The following is a 21,201-nucleotide window of genomic DNA, read 5'->3' on the forward strand; positions in this document are numbered from 1 at the left end:
GATTTGAACACTAGCTGGATATTTGATAATACTGAAACATTATTGTTAATTTATTTTTATTGTGTTTTCTTTAAAAAAACCACAGTCCTTATCTTTTAGAATTACTGAAATAAAGAAAAAAATGATCTGATGCTTGGAATTGATTTCCAAATAATCATGATGAAGGGAAATGGGTGGAGAAATAGAAAAAAATGACATTTGCTGTAAGTAGACAATTGAAGCTGGGTCACAGGTATATGGATTTTTTGTATGTTCTATCTACTTTTGTATATGTTTGAAATTTTCCATAGCTCCATATTTACTTCTTATTGGAAAATAAACAAGAAGAGAAGAATTGGAAGAGAGAAATCATGGGCAAAGTAGTAGTCTGAGATGGGGTGTCAGGCCTAATGTCCATCAGCTATTGCCCCACAGGCCTGCATTGCTAATCTGCCATCTGCCTCACGGCACCCTCCCCAGCCATCCTGTTGGCCCCTCCCATGAGGGAGTGCTCTCCATGGCTGTGCCCTCTTGGGCCTGACCTCACAACTGTTTCTGGAGGCACAAATTTGTCTCCTGTGGCTCAAGACACGAAGAATGGATGATCACATATGGTCACCAAACTTTGTGGAACAGTGATTCCAAACTATGGTCCTTCCGACAGCAGAGCAACACAAGAAGCAAACAGCTGAGGTGTTTGAGAAAGGTCAGGGAAAAAAAGCCTTCTTTTTTTTTTTTTTTTTTTTTTTTTTGAGACAGAGTCTCGCTCTATTGGCAGGCTGGAGTGCAGTGGCGCGATCTTGGCTCACTATAACCTCTGCCTGCTGGATTCAAGCAATTCTTCTGCCTCAGCCTCCCTAGTAGCTGGGACTACAGGTGCACACCACCACGCCCAGCTAATTTTTGTATTTTTAGTAGAGATAGGGTTTCACCATGTTGGCCAGGATGGTCTCGATCTCCTGACCTTGTGATCTGCCCGCCTCGGCCTCCCAAAGTGCTGGGATTACAAGGGTGAGCCACTGCGCCTGGCCGAAAAAGCCTTCTTGACTGAGAGCATGCTGCGGGTTAGGGAAGGGAGAGGTTACCTCTGGATCAGAGGTTGGAGAAGAATATAATTAAAGGAGTTTAAACTGAACTGGAGTGACACATAAATCATGCGAAATATATGTGAATGTGTTTCTTAAGTAAAATTAAAAAGTCCTCCAGGGGGATGTGCTTCTCCCATGCTCAAAGCTGACAAATCTTGGAGATGCCTGGTGCCCCAACCAAAGGTCATTTCCCAGCCTTTCTCTGAGAACAGAGAACACATTTCTCACGGAAGCAACATTATAAGTGGTGGTTGGGTTCCCAAGATCCCCATCAAAAGTTTATTTGCCCAGTTTAAAGGCTGCGCATTTGCACCTGAAGTAGGTAGGGCCCTTGCAAAGGCTAGCAGTTGGATAACATTAAGTTACATGTCAAGCCAGTCAAGATATGTGCCCTGCAATCCTCAGGAGTTGCTTGTGGAATTCAGAGGAGGAAGGGAGCATCTTCCAGTTAGGTGGCTAGGGAAGCAGTGGGATTTGAGCTGGGCTTGGAGTGGTGGATACATTTCAGTGACAGTAACAACCCCTCTGTCCTTCTTACTCAACTTTGCTAAGAAAAATTCTGAACTTTACAAATTATCCTTGAATCAGGCCCAGTGAGTTATGCGGAAATGTTAGAGCAAGCCCAAACCAGCTGGGACAGACGTAAATGTGTTCTGGATGTGCTGACTTGATCATAAGGTCCTCAGGTCTTCAGGATCCTGTAAGATGACCATCACCACACCACACTTCAGATTCCAGGGCCTTGCCTCCCTAGCCTGACATCTCACCTCCACCTCTGTCAAAATTTCAGAATCAGGTTGGGTCTTATCTTTGTTCTTATTTTTGATGTCCCATATAAACCCTTCTTCAACTGATCTTTTCCACCAGGCCCATAACTTCTTTCTTTGTTTTTTTTTTTTTTTTTTTAGACGGAGTCTCGCTCTATCACCAGGATGGAGTGCAGTGGCACGATCTTGGCTCACTGCAACCTCCACCTTCCGGGTTCAAGCAATTCTCCTGCCTCAGCCTCCTGAGTAGCTGGGACTACAGGAACCAGCCACCACACCCAGCCAATTTTTTGTATTTTAGTAGATACAGGGTTTCACCATGTTGGCCAGGATGGTCTCAATATCTTGACCTCATGATCCACCCACCTTGGCCTCCCAAAGTGCTGGGATTACAGGCGTGAGCCACCGTGCCCAGCCTCTTTCTAAGCCAGCATCCAGAACACAGATACAAGACTCATTAGGTAGGTTCAAAAAACAGGTCTCCAATGGCTTCCTTATTTCAGGAAGCACTGAATTAATTATTTCCACTCAGGAAAAGACTATGTTGGAGTCCATTGCTGCTTCTCGATCCCAAGTGAACTCCAGGAAGAAGCAAATGAAAAGCAATCATAGGCCGGGTGCGGTGGCTCGTACCTGTAATCACAGCACTTTGGGAGGCCAAGGCAGATGGATCACCTGATGTCAGGAGTTCAAGACCAGCCTGGCCAACATGGAGAAATCCCATCTCTACTAAAAATACAAAAATTAGCCGGGTATGGTGGCAAGTGCCTGTAATTCCAGCTACTTGGGAGACTGAGGCGAGAGAATCACTTGAACCCGGGAGGCGGATGTTATAGTGAGCTGAGATCGTGCCACTGCACTCCAGCCTGGGAGACAAGAGTGAAACTCTGTCTCAATAAAAAAAAAAGAAAGAAAAGAAAGAAAATAAAAGCATCGATAGTGTATATAGATCAAAGGAGGAAGGGACATTTTCCTTAGAATAAAACTTTAATAACGAAAACAATAAACTCCCTCCTTTCCACTCGTAGAATAGTCAAGCACTCATTTCTCATTTGCTTCTCAGCCATCAGCTGTCCTAATCTGTTATCTATTACGCTGTGTAACGAAACTCGTCCCAATCTAGTAGCTGAAAGCAACAACCATTTATTATGGCACATGTCTACATGGTGGCTGGGTGGTTTTGGTGATTTGGGCCCAGGCTGGCTGAATCCAGGTGGGCTTGTTCAGTGGTCCCTGGCAGTTGGGTTGGGGGCTGGCCTGTCTAGCATGGCCTCAGGTAGGAAGAGTTGGCTCTGCTCCACAGACTGACCCGTGCCTGTTCTCTTCCTCTGGCAGGTTAGTCCAGGCTTGTTCTCTCAGTGGAGACAGGGGTCCTACGAGAAGAGCAGAAGCAGTAAAGGCCTCATGAGGCCTGGACTTAAAGGACACATTGCCAGTTCCGCTATATTCTGTTGGCCAAAGCAGGCCAGCCAAGATACAAGCGGGGGGAGAAAATATGCTCTACCTTTTAATGAGGCATTGCAAACTCACATTGCCAAGGGTGTGGATACAGAAGGTCACTAGTTGTGGCCATGAATGCCATCCATCTATCAGACCTGCCAACGTAGTTTTTCTTTTAGGGGCGGACTTAGTCCGATTTCAGACATTAGTAAAACTGATTCGGATTCCATTTCCAAATTCCTAATTCCAAGAGAACTGGAAAAGCAGAGCGTGCCAACCTCTTATAATCCTTCTTAATGTGACAAATGTTTCTACAGCGTCCACTGAGCCAGGCTCAGTAGGTCCCTGGGACATATATGAAACAACAGTTCTCCTGCCCTCCAGGTGCTCAGCACAGCAGGAGAATCCCGGCTGGGAACAGAGAGCAAAGCGACCACATAGCTCTAGTGGGAATCCTGGGGAAGTGGTATGTGGTCTTGAATAGTGACTTAGAGTTTTCCAGAAAGAGAAGGAAGGGGAGTTCATTCTAGAGGCCTGGAGGATGTAAAGATGGTTGTGTTTTCATGAAACCGAGCTGTGGACACAAAGGGCAAGGCCAAGGTTGCAAGGGGCCTTGCCCGACTCTCTGTGGAGAGAGGATTTTATTGTGAAGGGTCCACGAAGTCACCGCAGGGCTTCAGCTGGATGAGTGTGCTCTGCTTGGCCTGTTGGAAAGATTGCTGGGGCAGCAGGGAGGTGAAGAGGAAGCTAAAGATAGGGTGACCAGTTGGGAGACTATTTCCAGTCCAAATACATCCTCTTGGGTTTGAGTTTCTGTGACCGTCCTCCTGCTGGCTGGAACTGGGAGGTCCTCTGGGGTCTCTAAACGCTCTCAGTTGCTTGCCTAGAGTTATGCAAGCGGGCGTGGGGTCGGGGCAGGACCAGGAAGCTTTGCGCTTTCTGCTCTTGGCTGATTTCATAACAGGTTAGCTTTTAAACTTCTGGCTCATTCCAGACACTATGCCTCTGGCCCTGGGAGAGAACTTGGTCTCCCAGACCGCGCATAACATTTCCACTTTCCGGCAAACACAGTCTGTGCGTGATCAGGTGAGGCTGGCGCACACAAATCCTTGATGTCTAGACCGCCTTTCTCCAGCTGCTGTGTTTACTGCAGAAAGGTTCCATCCTGGGATGATCGCCTGGGGGGAGTTTTCTTCTTGCGACACCTAGTTCAGCTCTGCTGAGCTTTTGGATTCCCAGCCTTTCTCCCACCACAACCCGGTGGTCATGAAGTCTCACAGGAAGTGTGGTAGGCACAATAATGGTCCCCAAGGATGTCTAGGCCCCCATCCCTGCAACCTGTAAGTGTGTTGTTACACGGCCAAGGGGATTGAATTAACAGATGGAATGAAGGTTGCTAATCAGCTGACTTTAATACAGGGAAATGAGCCTGGATTATCCAGGTGGGGCCAATATCATCATCAAGGTCCTTAATAGTGGAAGAGGAGGCAGCAGAGGAGCGCAGAGTGTTGCTTTGTGAGAAGGACCCGCCCAGCGTTGCTGGCCTTTAAGATGGAGGAAGGGGGCCGTGTGGTAGGAGTGTGGGGGCCTCAGGAGGGAAGGAAATTGGCTCTCCCAGGAGCTTCCAGAAAGGAATGCACCCCTGCTGACACTTTGATTTTGGCCCCAGTGAGCCTCGTGTTGGACTCCTGGACTACGGAGCTGTAAGATAATAAATGTGTGCTGTTTTAAGCCAGTAGCTTTGTGGTAATTGGTTACAGCAGGCATGGGAAAGCAGTGCAGGGTGTGTGAGCTGAACCCTTGAAGACGGGGTTCTCCACTACGTCCCCAGTGTGGAGCACAAGCTGGCTCTATGCCCGGTGCTCGGAAGCATTTTCAGAATGAACAGGACTGACTGAGATGAAGCCGCAGACATCTGCTCTCTCCAGGCCCCTATCTGGCTGTGTGACCATAGGTGGGTCCCTTCACTTTCAGTGACTATGTTCCCATGTCTCTTAAGGCAGTTGATGACCTCAAGGGTGGGTGACTTTTGAAGTGACTCTCAGATGTGTTACCACTGGAGCCACCGCCAGATCTCCTGACTCTCCTCTCTCTGACTGGTCTCATTCTTAGTCTAATACCATCATTCTCCAATGCTAAGGTCATTAATTAGCACCCCAGGCCCTCACTGACTCTGCTCTCACCCTGTCTCTGGGGCTCCCTGCCTACAGGTTCACTGCGGAGGTCATGGTAGACGTTGCTGCCCAGAACCTCCAACCGTAGGAAACCTCTCCTCCTTATTCTCAGCCATGAAGTGTGGGAGCAAAACTGCTACACAGTTTTGCTCAGGGTCAGACGCTGGGACATCCCCAGGGCCTGTAATGCTGGTCTCACCAGAGCTTTGACTGTGAATGCTGCTTTTCCTCATAGCAGTGTGTGGCCCCTAAGGTCCCCTATTCAATGACCAGGGACAATCATCAAATCAATGCAAAGAGAAAATGAAGCCTTGTGTTTCTATCTAACGGGTGAGCTACACTGGAAGTATAAGAAGTACTTATGGGGAAATCTGCTTTCCTGACTCTTACTTCTGTTTCCAGAGGGTGATATAATGTGTGTAAATGCAGATTCAGCTTCGAGGAAACTTTCGTCTAATAATGAACTGAACCACATTATGGCATGCTATCTCCAAGGTATGATAGTATCTGTTATACTCATGGGGTCCAAATTTTCTTTAGCTTAGAGGTTATTCTACTTTAGAGCAGGAGTTCTCTATTTTGGCCACCCACTAAGAATCACTCGAGGGGAGTATTTAAAAATCCAAGCCAGGCTGCACTCTAGAGCCACAGAATCACTGGGCTGAAACAGTTCCCCAGGTGACGCTGATGTGCAGCGCGGGTTGAGAACCACTCCACTGCCTTAGCTAACACTGGCTACTCTTGCCTTTGCCTTTGCTATTTACAAAAACAATTATTTTTTAGTATCTAAAGGCCAACATCAATAAACCCTTACTTGTTATACTAGAAGATGCTCTGTCCTCATTGACCTGAGTCCCATCTTAGTGGGGCTTATTATAATGACCCAGGCACGTGAGTCTCATGCAAACCAGTGGGGCAGGCTCTTGGGAGCAGTGGCTTCTGCATTATGCCTGGAATGCAGGAATACATGGGGATCAGTCCGACTGACAAATGCAACTCACCCAAAGTGACTATGAATGACTGCAAGGGCATCTGGGTACAGCAGTGGGACTGTAGTTCAGGTCAGGGATCTGGTCTCTGGTGTTGGCCCTGGGCAGGGAGGGAGCTCTAACAGGAACCGAGGCACCCAGTGTGGTACCTGCAGTTTCCCTGACCCCCACTGCAATCCTTCACCCCCGGGCTCCCCTTGGTTTCCCTGCCTCACCCACAGTCATTGGCCTCAGCTGGTAAAGGGCAGCTTGAGCCAGTGCGTCCTCGGAGCGTTAGTCCCAGCCAGTTTTTGCTGACTCCTCTCCCTTCCCAGCTGCCATGGCAAGTGGGTGCCCAGTCCCACAGCAGCCTCTCTTTCCTAAGTAAAATCCCACGCCCCGTGGCTAACTGTTCACAACCTGAAGGAAGAAATGTTCTACTTTCAAAGGAAAAACAGCCCTCCTTCCATGTAGCTCGCCAGCTGCCCACCGCTAGCCAGGTGTCGCTTGCAATCCATGGACACCGTTCCCGTAGCAACCCCAGGTGACTGTCACAGCTGCCCCTGACACAAACTGCTTTAGCAAAGGGGTGTCAAAAAATATTTTAAAAACAAGTTTTAAACACAATTTTTAGGGAGAAATCAAGAGGGTTCTCAACTGAGGTAATTGACCGACTTGGTGGGGGTTCAGTCCATGAATGTAGCTTCACTCTTGTGGCTATTAATGGCAGGGAGGTGGGGGGACAGTTGGTATAAAGGCAATGAGACTACATATCAAGATGGAAGGGGGCATCCTAGGCTTGGCATGGTATTTGGAAACCTTGACTAGCCTTTTATGCCCAATGCTGTTTGGAAATCTTGCTGGGAATCACAGAAGCTATAGATGCTTAATGGTGTCAGCACTGATATGCGCCACCATCAGCTTGAATTACATATTAACCACCCATCTGCATTTAATCCCTATACCTGGCCATCTTCTGATGAGACGAGCTATTTCCTCTCTCTCCTCTCTTGTACTCTCCAGTGGATAAGTGAGTTTCTCTCCATGCCTTCTCTGGAGTGGGCTGTTTCGCCCACTGGAGGGGGATTCTCAAGGTCTCCACCACTCCTTGGAAAAATGGGGTGAGGACTCCAGGGCTGGGAAAGGGAAAGTGTAAGATGATCCTGAACCAGCTTATGGTGCCTGGAAGTAAGGAAATGCTAGAAAAATGGTGAGAACATGTCAGAAGATCACAGGAGCCAGCTTGAAAGGGCTCAAAACAGCCAAACCTAGGGAATCTGAGCAATAAGAGAAATAATAACAGTGGATTGTGACCTGTAGAGTACAATGGATGTATTCTGCTAAGTGAGAGAAGCCAGACCCCAAAGTCTACATACTCAAATCCACTTATATGACATTCTGGAAAAGGCAAAACTATAAGGACAAAAACCAGATCAGTGGTTGCCAAAAATAGGAGGTGTGGGGGGGTTGATTAAGCTGTATGAGGGATTTTGGGGGCTGATGCAGCTGTTCTGTTGCATGACTGTGGTGTAGATACATGACTCTACATTGTCAAAACTCATAGAACTGCAAACTACAGAGAGTGAATTTTACTGAATGTAAATTTTAAAAAATTAAGATGTTTGGGAGCCCCAAATGGAACCCAATTACAAATAAACCCAACCAGGCTGGGCATGGTGGCTCACACAGGTAATCCTAGCACTTTGGGAGGCCGAGGTGGGCAGATTGCCTGAGCCCAGGAGTTTGAGACCAGCCTGGGGAACATAGCAAAATCCCGTCTCTACAAAAAATACAAAATTAGCCAGGCATGGTGGCGCATGCCTGCAGTCCTAGCTACTCAGGGACTGAGGCGAGAGGATCACTTAAGCCTAGGAGATTGAGGCTGCAATGAGCTGAGATCATGCCACTACATTCCATACATTCCAGCCTCAATGACAGAGTGAGTCCCTGTCTCTTAGAAATAAAAAAAAACAAAAGAACCCAACCATAATACAGATGAATAACATAACCACACTGAAGGGGGTAGGGAAGAAAAGAACCAACCTGAGTACCCAGGGAAAATAGGGTTTTGACTTGATACACAAATACTGTATGGTTAATACACTTCTCATGGGCGGGGGGTGGAGGTTAGGAATTCTGCAACTACTTTCTGTGTATACTAAAGCTGAAAAAATAGGTACAGCTGACCCTTCAACAACACAAGCTTAAACTTCAAGGGTGCACTTATCCAAGGATTGTCTTTCACTTCTGCCACCCTCGAGGTAGCAAGACCAACCCCTCTTCTTTCTCCTCCTCAGCCTACTCAGTGTAAAGACGATGAGGATGAAGACCTTTAGGATGACCACCTTCTACTTAATGAACAGTAAATATATTTTCTCTTTTTTATGATTTTCTTAAGAACATTTCATTTTCTCTAACTGTATTTTAAGAATATGTAATAAATACATGCAAATCAACTTATCAGTAAGGCTTCTAGTCAACAGTATGCTATTAGTATTAATAGTTAAGTTTATGGGGAGTCAAAAGTTATATGTAGATTTTTAGCCAGGTGTGGTGGTGCGTGCCTATAGTCCTATCTACTGGGAGGCTGAAGCAGGAGGATTGCTTAAGCTGAGGAGTTTGAGGCTGCCATGAGCTATGATTGTGCCACTGCACTCCAGCCTGGACAACAGTGCAAGACTCTATTAAAAATTTTTTTTTAAATTATCTGTGGTTTTTTGATTCCACATAGGAGTGGCATCCCAACCCTCACATTATTCAAGGGTCATCTGTAAATGCATTAAAGATGTTGAGAGCCAGGTTTCTCACCGCCAAAGAAGTTACAAATAAGAGGAAGGGGGGCTACAATGAACCCTGTCATGTTGGATTGGAATCTGAGCTATCACAGTATGAATTTGTTTTTTAACATTTTATGTATATACAGTTACAGAAATATAGATGTGCATGGCTTAGTATACATATGTATTATTTCAAGCTCTGTTCTCTATGAGGCCCTAGAAGCAATGACATCCAGTGACAATAAACACACTCAGTGCCCAGATTTTTGTTTCTAAATAAAAGGAACCAGGCCTCCCTGGAGCAGTGATTGATTCCAGGCTCCTAGGCAGGGAAAACACAAGAAGAGCCTGGAACATCTTGAAATGCAAGAAAGTAAGGAAGTGCTCATGAAAGGATGGGGCAGGTCACAAGTGTGCAGGAGCCAACCTGAAAGAGCTCCCCGTGGCCAAGCTGGGACAATTTGAGCAATAAAATAATGATGGTATTATAATCCATAAAATAAATATCCATGAGTCCATACTCATATAAACAAGCAAACAAATAGATGAGAAAGGACAGTAATTCTCCAGATAGAATTTCAATTACTTATAATAATAAATGAGGAAATCATGATAATTAATGAGGGAAATAAAAAATCACCATTAGGCAAACACTACAGTAATAATTATTACAGGCACAATCTACTAATAGATGTTAAGATGACTGGGCAAAAATTTGAGGTGAATCAGGATATTTGCATAGCCTTAAACTATCTCTCCCAAGATATTTATTAATTACAAAGGTAAAAATAGTAACTTTACAGTGAAGAAACCCAGCAGACACAACTTTAACCAGGCGACCAAGGTTAACATCACCAGTGGCAGGACATAGCAGCATCCTATCCCACTAACAATATGCATTGAGGGTTTATTACCTTGGTGATATTCTTCGAAGGATGGATAACCTACATTTAATCTTGAGAAAACATCAGATAAACTCCAAATGAGGGAGATTCTACAAAGTAACTGACCAGTACTCCTCAAAAATGTCAAGATCATGAAAGACAAGGAAAGATAGAGGAACTATCACAGATGGGAGAAGACCACAGACCTGACCACTAAGTGCAGTGTGGGATCCTGAGTGGCTCCTGAAGAAGAAAGCAGAAGTTAGATAACTAGATAGACAATTAGTGACAATTTAATAAGCTCTGTCAGTTATATAGTAGTATTGCCTTTATGTTAATTTCCTGATTTTTTTTTTTTTTTGAGACGGAGTCTGGCTGTTACCCAAGCTGGATGTGGTGGCACCATCTTGGCTTACTGCAACCTCCACCTCCTGAATTCAAGCGATTCTCCTGCCTCAGCCTCCCGAGTAGCTGGGATTACAGGTGCGTGCCACCATGCCCAGCTAATTTCTGTATTTTTAGTAGAGATGGGGTTTCACCCTGTTGGCCAGGCTGGTCTCAAACTCCTGATCTCAAGTGATCTGGCTGTCTTGGCCTCCCAAAGTGCTGGGATTACAGGCGTGAGCCACTGCGCCCGACCAGTTTCCTGATTTTGATCTTTGTACTTTGGGTGATGTAAGATGTCAACACTTGGGAGATTTGGGTGAAGGATTATGGGAATTCTTTATACTACTTTTCCAAATTTTTTTCAAGTCTGAAATCATTTCAAGATGAAAAGTTGAAAAAAATCGAGGGTCAGAAAGTACATAGTATGCTTCTTTTCCATAAGAATATTAGAGAAATAAGTATTTATATTTTATTTTAATTTGCTTGTATTTGCTTACAAAAGCACTGGAAAGATAAATGAGAAATTAATAAAAACTGTTACTTATGGGCGACCAGATGAGGAATGGGTGGATGGGGCAGAGTGAGAGTGAGGCTTCTCTGTGTACACCTTTTTAAATTATGTAAATGTACTATCTATCCTCTGTCTCAAAAACCAAAACCCCAAAAAACTAAATCACCTTATAGTTCATAAAGGCAAAGATATTTTATTTCATAGTTTCTCACAATGAAATAAATAGTAATTATCCTATGAGGTAGTTACTATTATTATATCATTACCATTTTAGACATGAGTAAATGAGGGCATATATGTATAAATAACTTATTCAAAGTCATTAGCTAATGAGGCCGGGCACAGTGGCTCAGGCCTGTAATCCTAGCACTTTGGGAGGCCGAGGTGGGCAGATCACTTGAGGACAGAAGTTTGAGACCAGCCTGGGCAATATGATGAAACCTAGTCTCTACTAAAAATACAAAATTAGCTGGGCATGATGGCAGGTGCCTGTAATCCCAGCTACTTGGAAGGCTGAGGCAGGAGAATCGCTTGAACCTGGGAGATGGAAGATGGAGGTTGCACTGAGCCGAGATTGTGCATTGCACTCTAACCTGGGCAGCAGAGCAAAACTTCCTCTCAGAAAACAAAAACAAAAAAACAGTCATTAGCTAATGAGACCCCAGAACCTGCACAGGGAGATTACCAACAGGGAAAGCAGATTTCAGAAAATGCAGCCTGGCCAACATGGTGAAACCTCATCTCTACTAAAAATACAAAAATTAGCTGGGTGTGGTGGTGTGTGTGCCTGTAGTCCCAGCTACTTGGGAGGCTGAGGCAGGAGCATCGCTTGAACCTGGGAGGCAGAGGTTGCAGTGGGCTGAGATGGCGCCACTGCACTCTAGCCTGGGTGACAGAACTTTTGGGAGGCCAAAGTGGGCAGATCACTTGAGGTCAGGAGTTAGAGACCAGCCTGGGCAACATGGTGAAACCCCATCTCTACTAAAATACAAAAATTAGCCGGGTGTGGTGGCACTGGCATGCAATCCCAGCTACTCGGGAAGCTGAAGCAGGATAATTGCTTGAACTTGGGAGGTGGAGGTTGCAGTGAGCCAAGATTGCATCATTGCACTCCAGCCTGGGAGGCAGAGCGAGACTCTGTCTCCAAAAAAAAAAAAAAAAAAAAAAAAAATTCAGAAAATGGTATGGAAAAGAAAGGCATGGTCCTATGGCCAGAGACTTGAAAGGGAGTTCCAGAAGAAAGAAAACTTCCCACTGTCTTAGTCAGCTTAAGACTTTGTGGCTTAAACAACAGACATTTATTTCTCATGCTTCTGGAACCTGGGAAGTCCAAGACCAGGGTGCTGGAAGACTCAATCCTTGATAAGGTCCCACTTTTTGGCTTTTAGTCAGCTGCGTTCTTGCTGTATCCTCATGTGACTCAGACACTGGTTTCCTCTTCTTATAAGGACACTAATCCCATCATGAGGGCCCTACCCTCATGACCTCATCGAAACCTAAGGACCTCCCAAAGGCCCTGCCTCTTAATCCTATCTCATTGAAGGTTAGGCCTTCAACAGATGAATTTTTGGAGGACACATTCAGTCCATAACACTTCCCACCCCCCAACACACAAACTTTTAAAAATCTGTGTTAAGTATGTACTTTGTGCTGTAAAGTGCTATGGGTTTTTTGTTTTTGTTTCATTTCTGTTATCCAGGCTGAAGGCAGTGGCACTATCTCACCTCACTGCAACCTCTGCCTCCTAGGTTCAAGCAATTTTCCCACCTCAGCCTCCTGAGTAGCTGGGACTACAGGCACGCACCACCATGCCTGGCTAATTTTTTGTATTTTTAGTAGAGACAGGGTTTCGCCATGTTGGTCAGGCTGGTCTCAAATTCCTGACCTCAGGTGATTGGCCCGCCTCGGCCTCCCAAAGTGCTGGGATTACAGGTGTGATCCCTCATGCCAGGCCAAACCATGAATCTTTTATCTTTCTCTATAGTTTTGTCTTTTCTAGAATGACACATTATTGAAGCCATACGATTTGTAGTCTTTTCAGGCTGGCTTCTTTCACTTAGCGACATGCATCTAAGGTTCCTTTATGTCTTTTCCATAGTTTGATGGCTCATTTATTTTTAATGCTGAATAATATTACATTGTATGGACATGCCATACCATAGTTCATTTGTGTTTTATTTTATTTATATATATATATTTTTTGAGACAGAGGCTCACTCTGTCACCCAGGCTGGAGTGCAGTGGCGCGATCTTTTTTTTTTTTGAGACAGAGGGCACGATCTCGACTCACTGCAACCTCTGCCTCCTGGGTTCAAGTGATTCTCCTGTCTCAATTCCCCAAGTAGCTGGGATTACAGGAGCATGCCACCATGCCCGGCTAATTTTTATATTTTTAATAGAGATGGGGTTTTGCCATGTTGCCCAGGCTGGTCTTGAACTCCTGGCCTCAAGTAATCCACCTGCCTTGGCCTCCCAAAGTGTTGGGATTACAGGCATGAGCCACTGCACCCGGCCTTAGATTACTTTTATAATAAAAAAATAAATGCATTATATGCACAAGAATCGTGCTTGAACCTGGGAGGCAGAGGTTGCAGTGAGCTGAGATCACGCCACTGCACTCCAGCGTGTGTGACAGACCAAGACTCTGTCTCAAAAACAAAAACAAACAAACAGAAAACCAACTATGAAAAAGAGAGTTAGCCCTATAGGCATGTGTGATATATCGCAATGCATAAGCATACAGGCTCTGGAATTGGACAAACCTAGATTTGAATAGTAGCCCTGTCACTTATTAGCCGTGGGCAAATTCTATAATCTCGATGTGCCACTCTCCTCCTTGCACCATGGGTTTAACCACATTGCCTGGGCTACTGTGCGGATTGGATGAGATGATGCATGTGGAGTCAGCAAGATGCCTGTCACTCCCCCTCCCTCCCAGGTCTTCACTGATGAAAGCAGGTATCAAAGTCAAGCAGATGGAAATGAAACTGGCAATTTTATTATTGGTGGAGTTATTGGAGAACAATAGGAATATTTCAAAAAAAATGATGCCTGCGTCAACATAAAAGCATTTTCAACAAATTGTGTTATAATATCCAGGTCTGCATAAGAAGTTTTTTTTAACCTACATGTATCTTAATACTTCTTTGTTGGTGCCTCTCCATTAGTTCATTTGAATAAGAGAAAAATGTCAAAATATTTTGGTAATTTTTATAGATTTCATAAGGGGAGTTTGTCATTAGTTTGTGTGGATTTTTTTTTTTTTTTTCTGGCTGTGGATGCTTTGAATGGTAGAAGACTGAAGGGAAGGGAAGTGTGGTGAGGTGGGGCTTGAACAAGATACTACATGTTATAAGTGATTTTCTGAATTTCTTTTTTTAAAATAAGCTAATTTGTAATATTTTATAACTAGATGGTTTTATTAGATGCTCATAAGGTCTCAAACGTGCACTAATGCTCAGATTTTACATTTCCATCAGCCAGAAACCTGTTTTTTATTTTTTTATTTTTGGACAGAGTCTTGCTCTGTGGCCCAGGCTGGAGTATAGTGGCGTGATCTCAGCTTACTGCAACCTCCACCTCCTGGGTTCAAGCGATTCTTCTGCCTCAGCCTCCCAAGTAGCTGGAATTATAGGCACGTGCCACCACGCCTGGCTAATTTTTGTATTTTTAGTAGAGACGAGATTTCACCATCTTGGCCAGGCTGGACTTGAACTCCTGACCTCGTGATCTGCCTGCCTCGGCCTCCCAAAGTGTTGGGATTACAGGCGTGAGCTACTGCGCCCGGCCTAGAAAACTTTTTTTAATAAAAATAAATAATCTCCTTTCTTCCTTTTGTCATATGTATGTGTACACACATAAAATCAAAATCATAACCACAATGTTTTTCTTTTCATTTTTTGTTTTTCTCTACAACCTGGGCCCAGGAGCTCCTTCATCTTTTTTTTTTTTTTTAATTGTGGTAAAATCTGCATAACATAAAATGTACCAGCTAATCTATTATTAAGCATACAGTTCAGTGCATTGAGTACATTTACAGCGTTGTGTAACCACCATCACCATCCATCTCCAGAAAGATTTCATCAACACACCATGTTTCAAACTTCTCGATTTTATAAAGTGCCTCTCATTCAAATAGTAACAGCTGAAGAAAAAAATGCAGGTACCATGCAACATCTGACTTCTCAGCTGCCACACTCAGAAGTAACAAAGAACCCCCTTTTGAAAATCTCTTCCCATTTTATCTTTCTTTACAACTCCATAGCAATGTTGTTTTATGCAAACAAAATGTAAAACAGAGAACAAATAGTTTGTCCCCTGCTGCTATATAAAAACCAAAGTTTGTAACAAGGTAACTATTTTATAGCCCTCCAAGCTCAATAAAAGTACATTCTTCCTGTTGTGTTCTATCTTTTGGGCAGGTATGTAATTAAGATAGATGGTGTGTGATCCTAAGAACTCCCTTACCGGAGCATGTTCTGGCCAAATTCAGTGTGTTACATTATACTGTTCCTTTATATGTCCCTTAGTATTATACTTCTTAGCTGTCCACATCATATCCAATATAGGTCACTTTCCTTCCTAAAATGTTTTCTACCATTTTTATATCTACTGAGGGCGTTATAATTCTGAGATATCTGAATTTTATTGCTGAATGGTTAAATCTTTTTCTGGTGTGAATTCATTAAGGTGCTGAAACATAAATTGTACTATGTTTGTGGGAGTTATCTTTCACTTTTTCTTTGTTTTCTGCAAATTTTTTAATCCTCTGAAAATAGGCCAGGCCACCTTATCAGTGCGAGGTATCCAGAGCTCCACTCTCTTCTGAGCTTAAGAATGTTCTAGAATATTGTAAGGGGGGAATGGAGTACTCAGGAGCAGGAGAGAGGGAATGTGCAAAATCTCTGGGCACAAGTGGGTGTTCCCCTCCCAGCTGGTAACCAGGTGATGGGCTGACTGCAGGGAAGGGAAGGCCTCGTCCAGGAAGGGACAGCTGGTGCAGCCTGCGGCAGTCTAGTAGAGGCCACGGGCTCCTACTTGCGCCTTCGTGCTGGGAAACCGGATTTTTTTCCTTCTTCATGTTTTAAGGGCTTCTTCAGCACAGCTTTGCCCCACCACCTCCACAGTCTTCTCTCCCCCTAGTCTGGAATAAGATGTTCTAGTCCCTCAAATCAAATCCCACATGTAAGCCTCACATTTCCCCAACTTTTACCTAGGACTGCAGACCTCCAAGCCCAGAGGCTTTGGAAACAATCTTCAACTGCTTTCTCTCTGCTTTCCACCCTGTGTCCCCCTGCAGGCAGCTTGCAAAGAGCAGAGGCTTGGAAAGGAGAAGTGGGGCAGGAAGCGCAGAAAGTGCAGGATTCTGCGGTTAGCATTTCAAAAACATTGCCCTTCTCTGATATAAAGAAGTGGATTTTCTCTGATAGAAAGAAAACACAGTCAAGTCCTATGCTTGGAATATTGATCTGTAGAACAGTGGCCCATCTCCAGCCTCAAAGGCTAGTCTTAAAAGAAAAAGGAGAAAAAAAAAGCAATAGGAGAGTTTGCTGCTGCGAAGCTTAAGGTCCTATGAGGAAAATACTATTAGAGCCAGGAGCACAATTCTGGCTGCAATTAGAGTCACCTGGGAGAACTTTAAAAAAATGCCAAAAATAGAATGCCTGGGCCTCGCCCCTGGAGACTTTGATTTAATTGGTCTTGAGTGGGCCCCCAAGCAAAGCTTTTTTTTTTTTTTTTTTTTTGAGACGGAGTCTCACTCTGTCGCCCAGGCTGGAGTGCGTTGGCGCGATCTCGGCTCACTGCAAGCTCCGCCTTCCGGGTTCACGCCATTCTCCTGCCTCAGCCTCCCGAGTAGCTGGGACTACAGGCTCCCACCACCACGCCCGGCTAATTTTTTGTATTTTTAGTAGAGACGGGGTTTCACTGTGTTAGCCAGGATGGTCTGATCTCCTGACCTTGTGATCCGCCCGCCTCGGCCTCCAAAAGTGCTGGGATTACAGGCGTAAGCCACCGCGCCCAGCCCAGCAAAGCTATTTTTAAACGTTCCCCAGGTACTGAGTGTAGGGCAGAAACCCACGTTATGTTAGCAGGGCCCACTCATCCTATAGGCATAGCAGGCACAGCACTTGGGCCCACCATACTTCCAGGACCCACAGAAAAGTTCAATTTCTTTTAGAATCAGAAGAAAAAGAATAAACTTTTAGGTGGAAGAAAATGACTTCATATATAATATTAACATGTATTTCTTTATATCAATGAATTCATAAAATACAATTTTGGGGGCTAGGTTTGGTGGCTCATCCCTGTAATCCCAGGATTTTAGGAGGCCAAGGAAGGAGGATTGCTTGAGGCCAGAAGTTTGAGACCCACCTGGGTAACATAGCGACACCCCGTCTCTAAAAAATAAATTTAAAAATAAAATAAAATTACAATTTTTTTTAAATGGGGAAAGAGATCCACAAGTCAGAAGTGCATACGGCCTACAAAAGCCATAATGCAGCCCTATATAAAAGAGACACGTGGAGGCCAGGTGCATGTGGCTCATGCCTGTAATCCCAGCACTTTGGGAAGCCAAGGTGAGCAGACACTTGAGGTCAGGAGTTGGAGACCAGCCTGGCCAACATGGTGAAACCCTGTCTCTACTAAAAATACAAAAATTAGTCGGGCATGGTGGCGTGTGCCTTTAATCCTAGCTATGTGGGAGGCTAAGGCAGGAGAATTGCTTGAACCCAGAAGGCAGAGTTTGTAGTGAGCCGAGATAGTGTCACTGCACTCCAGCTTGGGCAATAGAGTGAGACTCCATCTCAAAAAAAAAAATAAAGAAAGAAAGAAAAAAGCCCGGTCGCGGTGGCTCATGCCTGTAATCCCAGCACTTTGGGAGGCTGAGGTGGGCGGATCACCTGAGGTCAGGAGTTCAAGACCCGCCTGACCAATATGGTGAAACCCCGTTTCTACTAAAATACAAAAATTAGCTGGGCACGGTGGCAGGCGCCTGTAGTCCCAGCTACTTGGGAGGCTGAGGCAGGAGAATTGCTCGAACCCGGGAGGTGGAGGTTGCAGTGAGCCTGGGATCGTGCCATTGCACTCCAGCCTGGGCAACAGAGCGAGACTCGGTCTCAAAAGAAAAAAACAAAAACAAAAAACACATGTAAGGGTACATCTTTGAATATTACTAAAAATAATTATTCAGTTCACATTAACACAGCATTGAAATACACCAATGATGTGTACACCTTGCGCTGGCAATGATTCCTAATTTTTCCCTTATCATTCCCCTATCCACTGCAAGTGGTTCAAGGTAGGCTCCATCCTGCTTCAATAAGCTACTTATAAATTTTGCTGTGTTGCCAACTCAGACGTTTTTGAGCGTCTAGTCTTTCATCCAAACACACAGTGCCTTTCTTTTCATTTTTGTTTTGTTTTTGTTTTTTAGAGATGGGAGGGTCTTGCTTTGTCACCCAGGCAGGAATGCGGTGGTACCATTTTGGCTCACTGCAGCCTTGAATTCCTGGCTCAAGGGATCCTCCCACTTCAGCCTCCTGAGTAGCTGGGATGAAAGGCACGCACCAGCATGCTCAGTTAATTTTAAAAGTTTTTTTTTTTTTTTTTTTTTTTTTGTAGAGACAGGGTCTCGCTTTGTTCCCCAGGCTGATCTTGAACTCCTGGGCTCAAGTGAACCTCCTGCCTCAGCCTCCCAAAGTGCTGGGATTACAGGCGTGAGCCGCCATGCCTAGCCTCTGGTGGCTTTCTAATGTTTGATTCCGAGATGCTCACCTCAGTTCCTGAGATTTCAGAGACACAGTGGATTGGAGGCCTCAGAGAAAAGGAAGCATTGGCCCTAAGAGGTATGGAGCGAATCCAGAGCCTCCTCAATGTGAGCCTTTTCCCCTGGGCTTTGCTGGCCTCTGTCGCCCCAGCTCAGTTCCCTCCTGGCTCCTCTGGCAGGCAGAGCTTCCTAAGGTTGAGTTACAAAAACCACCGTGGTCACTCTCACTTTTCCCCTTTTCCAAACAGATACCCATATTTGAAAAGTCATCTTCTTCATATTGGCACAAACTCCAGAGTTCTCCTGGCAAGGGAAAGGCATGTGGACGCCAATCTCCATGTCCTTGAATTTCATGGAAGGGAACTCATGTTGAGGGAGACTGAGGTATCAGGCAGGAAAGAACAGGTCAATACTCATTCCACCGGCACCGGGTGGGGCTTGGAAAAGCCAGTCACCTGCACTTGCTGGTTGCAAGACTAAAGCACACAGATGGAGACTCACAGGAAAATCACTCATCTGAAAACTCTCTGTGGCTGCCAGAGGCTCTGATGTCCCTTGGCTCCGGGTAGGAGCTGTCAAGGAGAAAGCCAACTGTGGTCTGAAATGAGGGAAGCAAGGCTTGGGATAATGATCCCTTAGATGCCTTCTGGTTTGAGGTCTTATGACTCTTCAGCAAAGCTCTGGTTCTGACAGACCCAGGTCTCAATCTCTGCTTCTCTATTTATTTATCAAGAATAAATAAATTTATACATTTTATTTATCCGTAAATTGGAGATAAGAACATGTACCTCATGGGTTGTTCTGAAATTTATTTTTATTTTTTAAATTAATTTATTTTTGAGATGGGGTCTCAGTTCTGTCTCCTAGGCCGGAGTGCAGCAGTGTGATCATAGCCCACTGCAACCTCCACCTCCTGGGCTCAAGCAAGCCTCCCACTTCAGCCTCCTGGGTAGCTGGGACCACAGGTGTGTACCACAAGCCTGGCTAATTTTTGTATTTTTTGTAGAGATGGGGTTTCACCGTGTTGCTCAGGCTTGTTCTGAAATTTAAATGTTGAGTGTGGAATTCTTCAAATTGCCCAAGAAATCCAAGTTCCCTCTTGTAATCACTGTCACCTTGACTGTAGGGCTAAAAGCGGAAGGAATCGCCAGTTTGTTGACTTCAGCCTGCTCTTGGGCAGACCAGCTCAAAAACCCTTACATGAAAGTTTTATGAAAATAAATTGTACTACTTCTGCAAGACTAAATTTGAGTTTTCATTATTTCAGCCCTGCCACCAAATAGTCCCAGCTTGCTACTTTTGCTTTAGACATATCCAAGAAAAATGTGTTCTGAAAGGTGAAATCCCTTGCTAGAAGGCTTTGGCAGTCAGAAATGAGCAAAAATGCAGAATTTTTTTTTTTTTTTTTTTTTGAGACGGAGTATTGTTCTGTCACCCAGGCTGGAGTGCAGTGGTGTGATCTCGGCTCACCACAATCTCTGTTTCCCAGGTTCAAGCAATCCTCCTCCCTCAGCCTCCTGAGTAGCTGGGATTACAGGCGCGTGCCACCACACCCAGCTAATTTTTGTATTTTTAGTAAAGATGGGGTTTCGCCATGTTGGCCAGGCTGGTCTTGAACTCCTGACTTCAGGTGATCTGCCCACCTCGGCCTCCCAGAGTGCTGGGATTACAGGCATGAGCCACCGTGCCCGGCCTAAAAATGCAGAATTTTAAAACATTTGTACTGGTGTTTTTTGGTCTCATTTGTTGCCCAATTGGTCTGAATATAATCTGACAATATGTCACTCAAGATCAACTATAACCAAATAATTCAAGCCAAAGAATGGTTGATTAATTTGCTACAAATAAAATGTGGTCCACAGAGTCAAAACTTTTTAAATGTTTCAAGGTTTTTTTTTTTTTTTAAATTTCTTTTTTTCTGAGACAGGGTCTCGCTCTGTCGTCCAGGCTGGAATGCAGTGACACAATCATAGTTTATTGTAGCCCCGACCTTATGGGCTCAGGTCATCTTCCCACCTCAGCCTCCTGAGTAGCTGGGACTACAGGCGCGAGCCATCATGCCTGACAAATTTTTTTGTATTTTCTGTAGAGATGAGGTTTCACTATCTTGCCCAAGCTGGTCCTAAACTCCTGAGCTCAAGTGATCTGCCCTCCTCGGCCTCCCAAAGTGCTGAGATTATAGGCGTGAACCACTGTGCCTGGCTAAGGTTTTGTTTTTAATCTTGGAATTGGAGCTATCCTGACTTTGCCCAAAGCATGGTTCGAAAGGGACTTTTCGATTTGGAGTTGTTTCAACATAATCAAGGACACATTCCCAATAACATTTAGTACATGCATGTTTATTGAATTAGTATTAGTTGGTGTTTTGGGGATGGCTGAGGGGATGGTGAGTGTAAACTTGCCTTGTTTCTGGAAAATTCCTCCTTCCACTGGTCAGCAGAGCTTTGACATTCCTACA

General features: G+C 44.7%; 1 annotated feature.

The window, feature by feature from the left end:
• Positions 6,973-7,694: an enhancer, noted in NCBI's record as "H3K27ac-H3K4me1 hESC enhancer chr15:57647689-57648410 (GRCh37/hg19 assembly coordinates)". NCBI's record gives its function as "activates a minimal SCP1, AML or CMV promoter by ChIP-STARR-seq in primed H9 embryonic stem cells {active_cell/tissue: H9 hESC(primed)}" and the evidence as "EXISTENCE:reporter gene assay evidence [ECO:0000049][PMID:30033119]".

This window comes from Homo sapiens, chromosome 15, assembly GCF_000001405.40.
Source record: "Homo sapiens chromosome 15, GRCh38.p14 Primary Assembly".
Taxonomy (NCBI): Eukaryota; Metazoa; Chordata; class Mammalia; order Primates; family Hominidae; genus Homo; species Homo sapiens.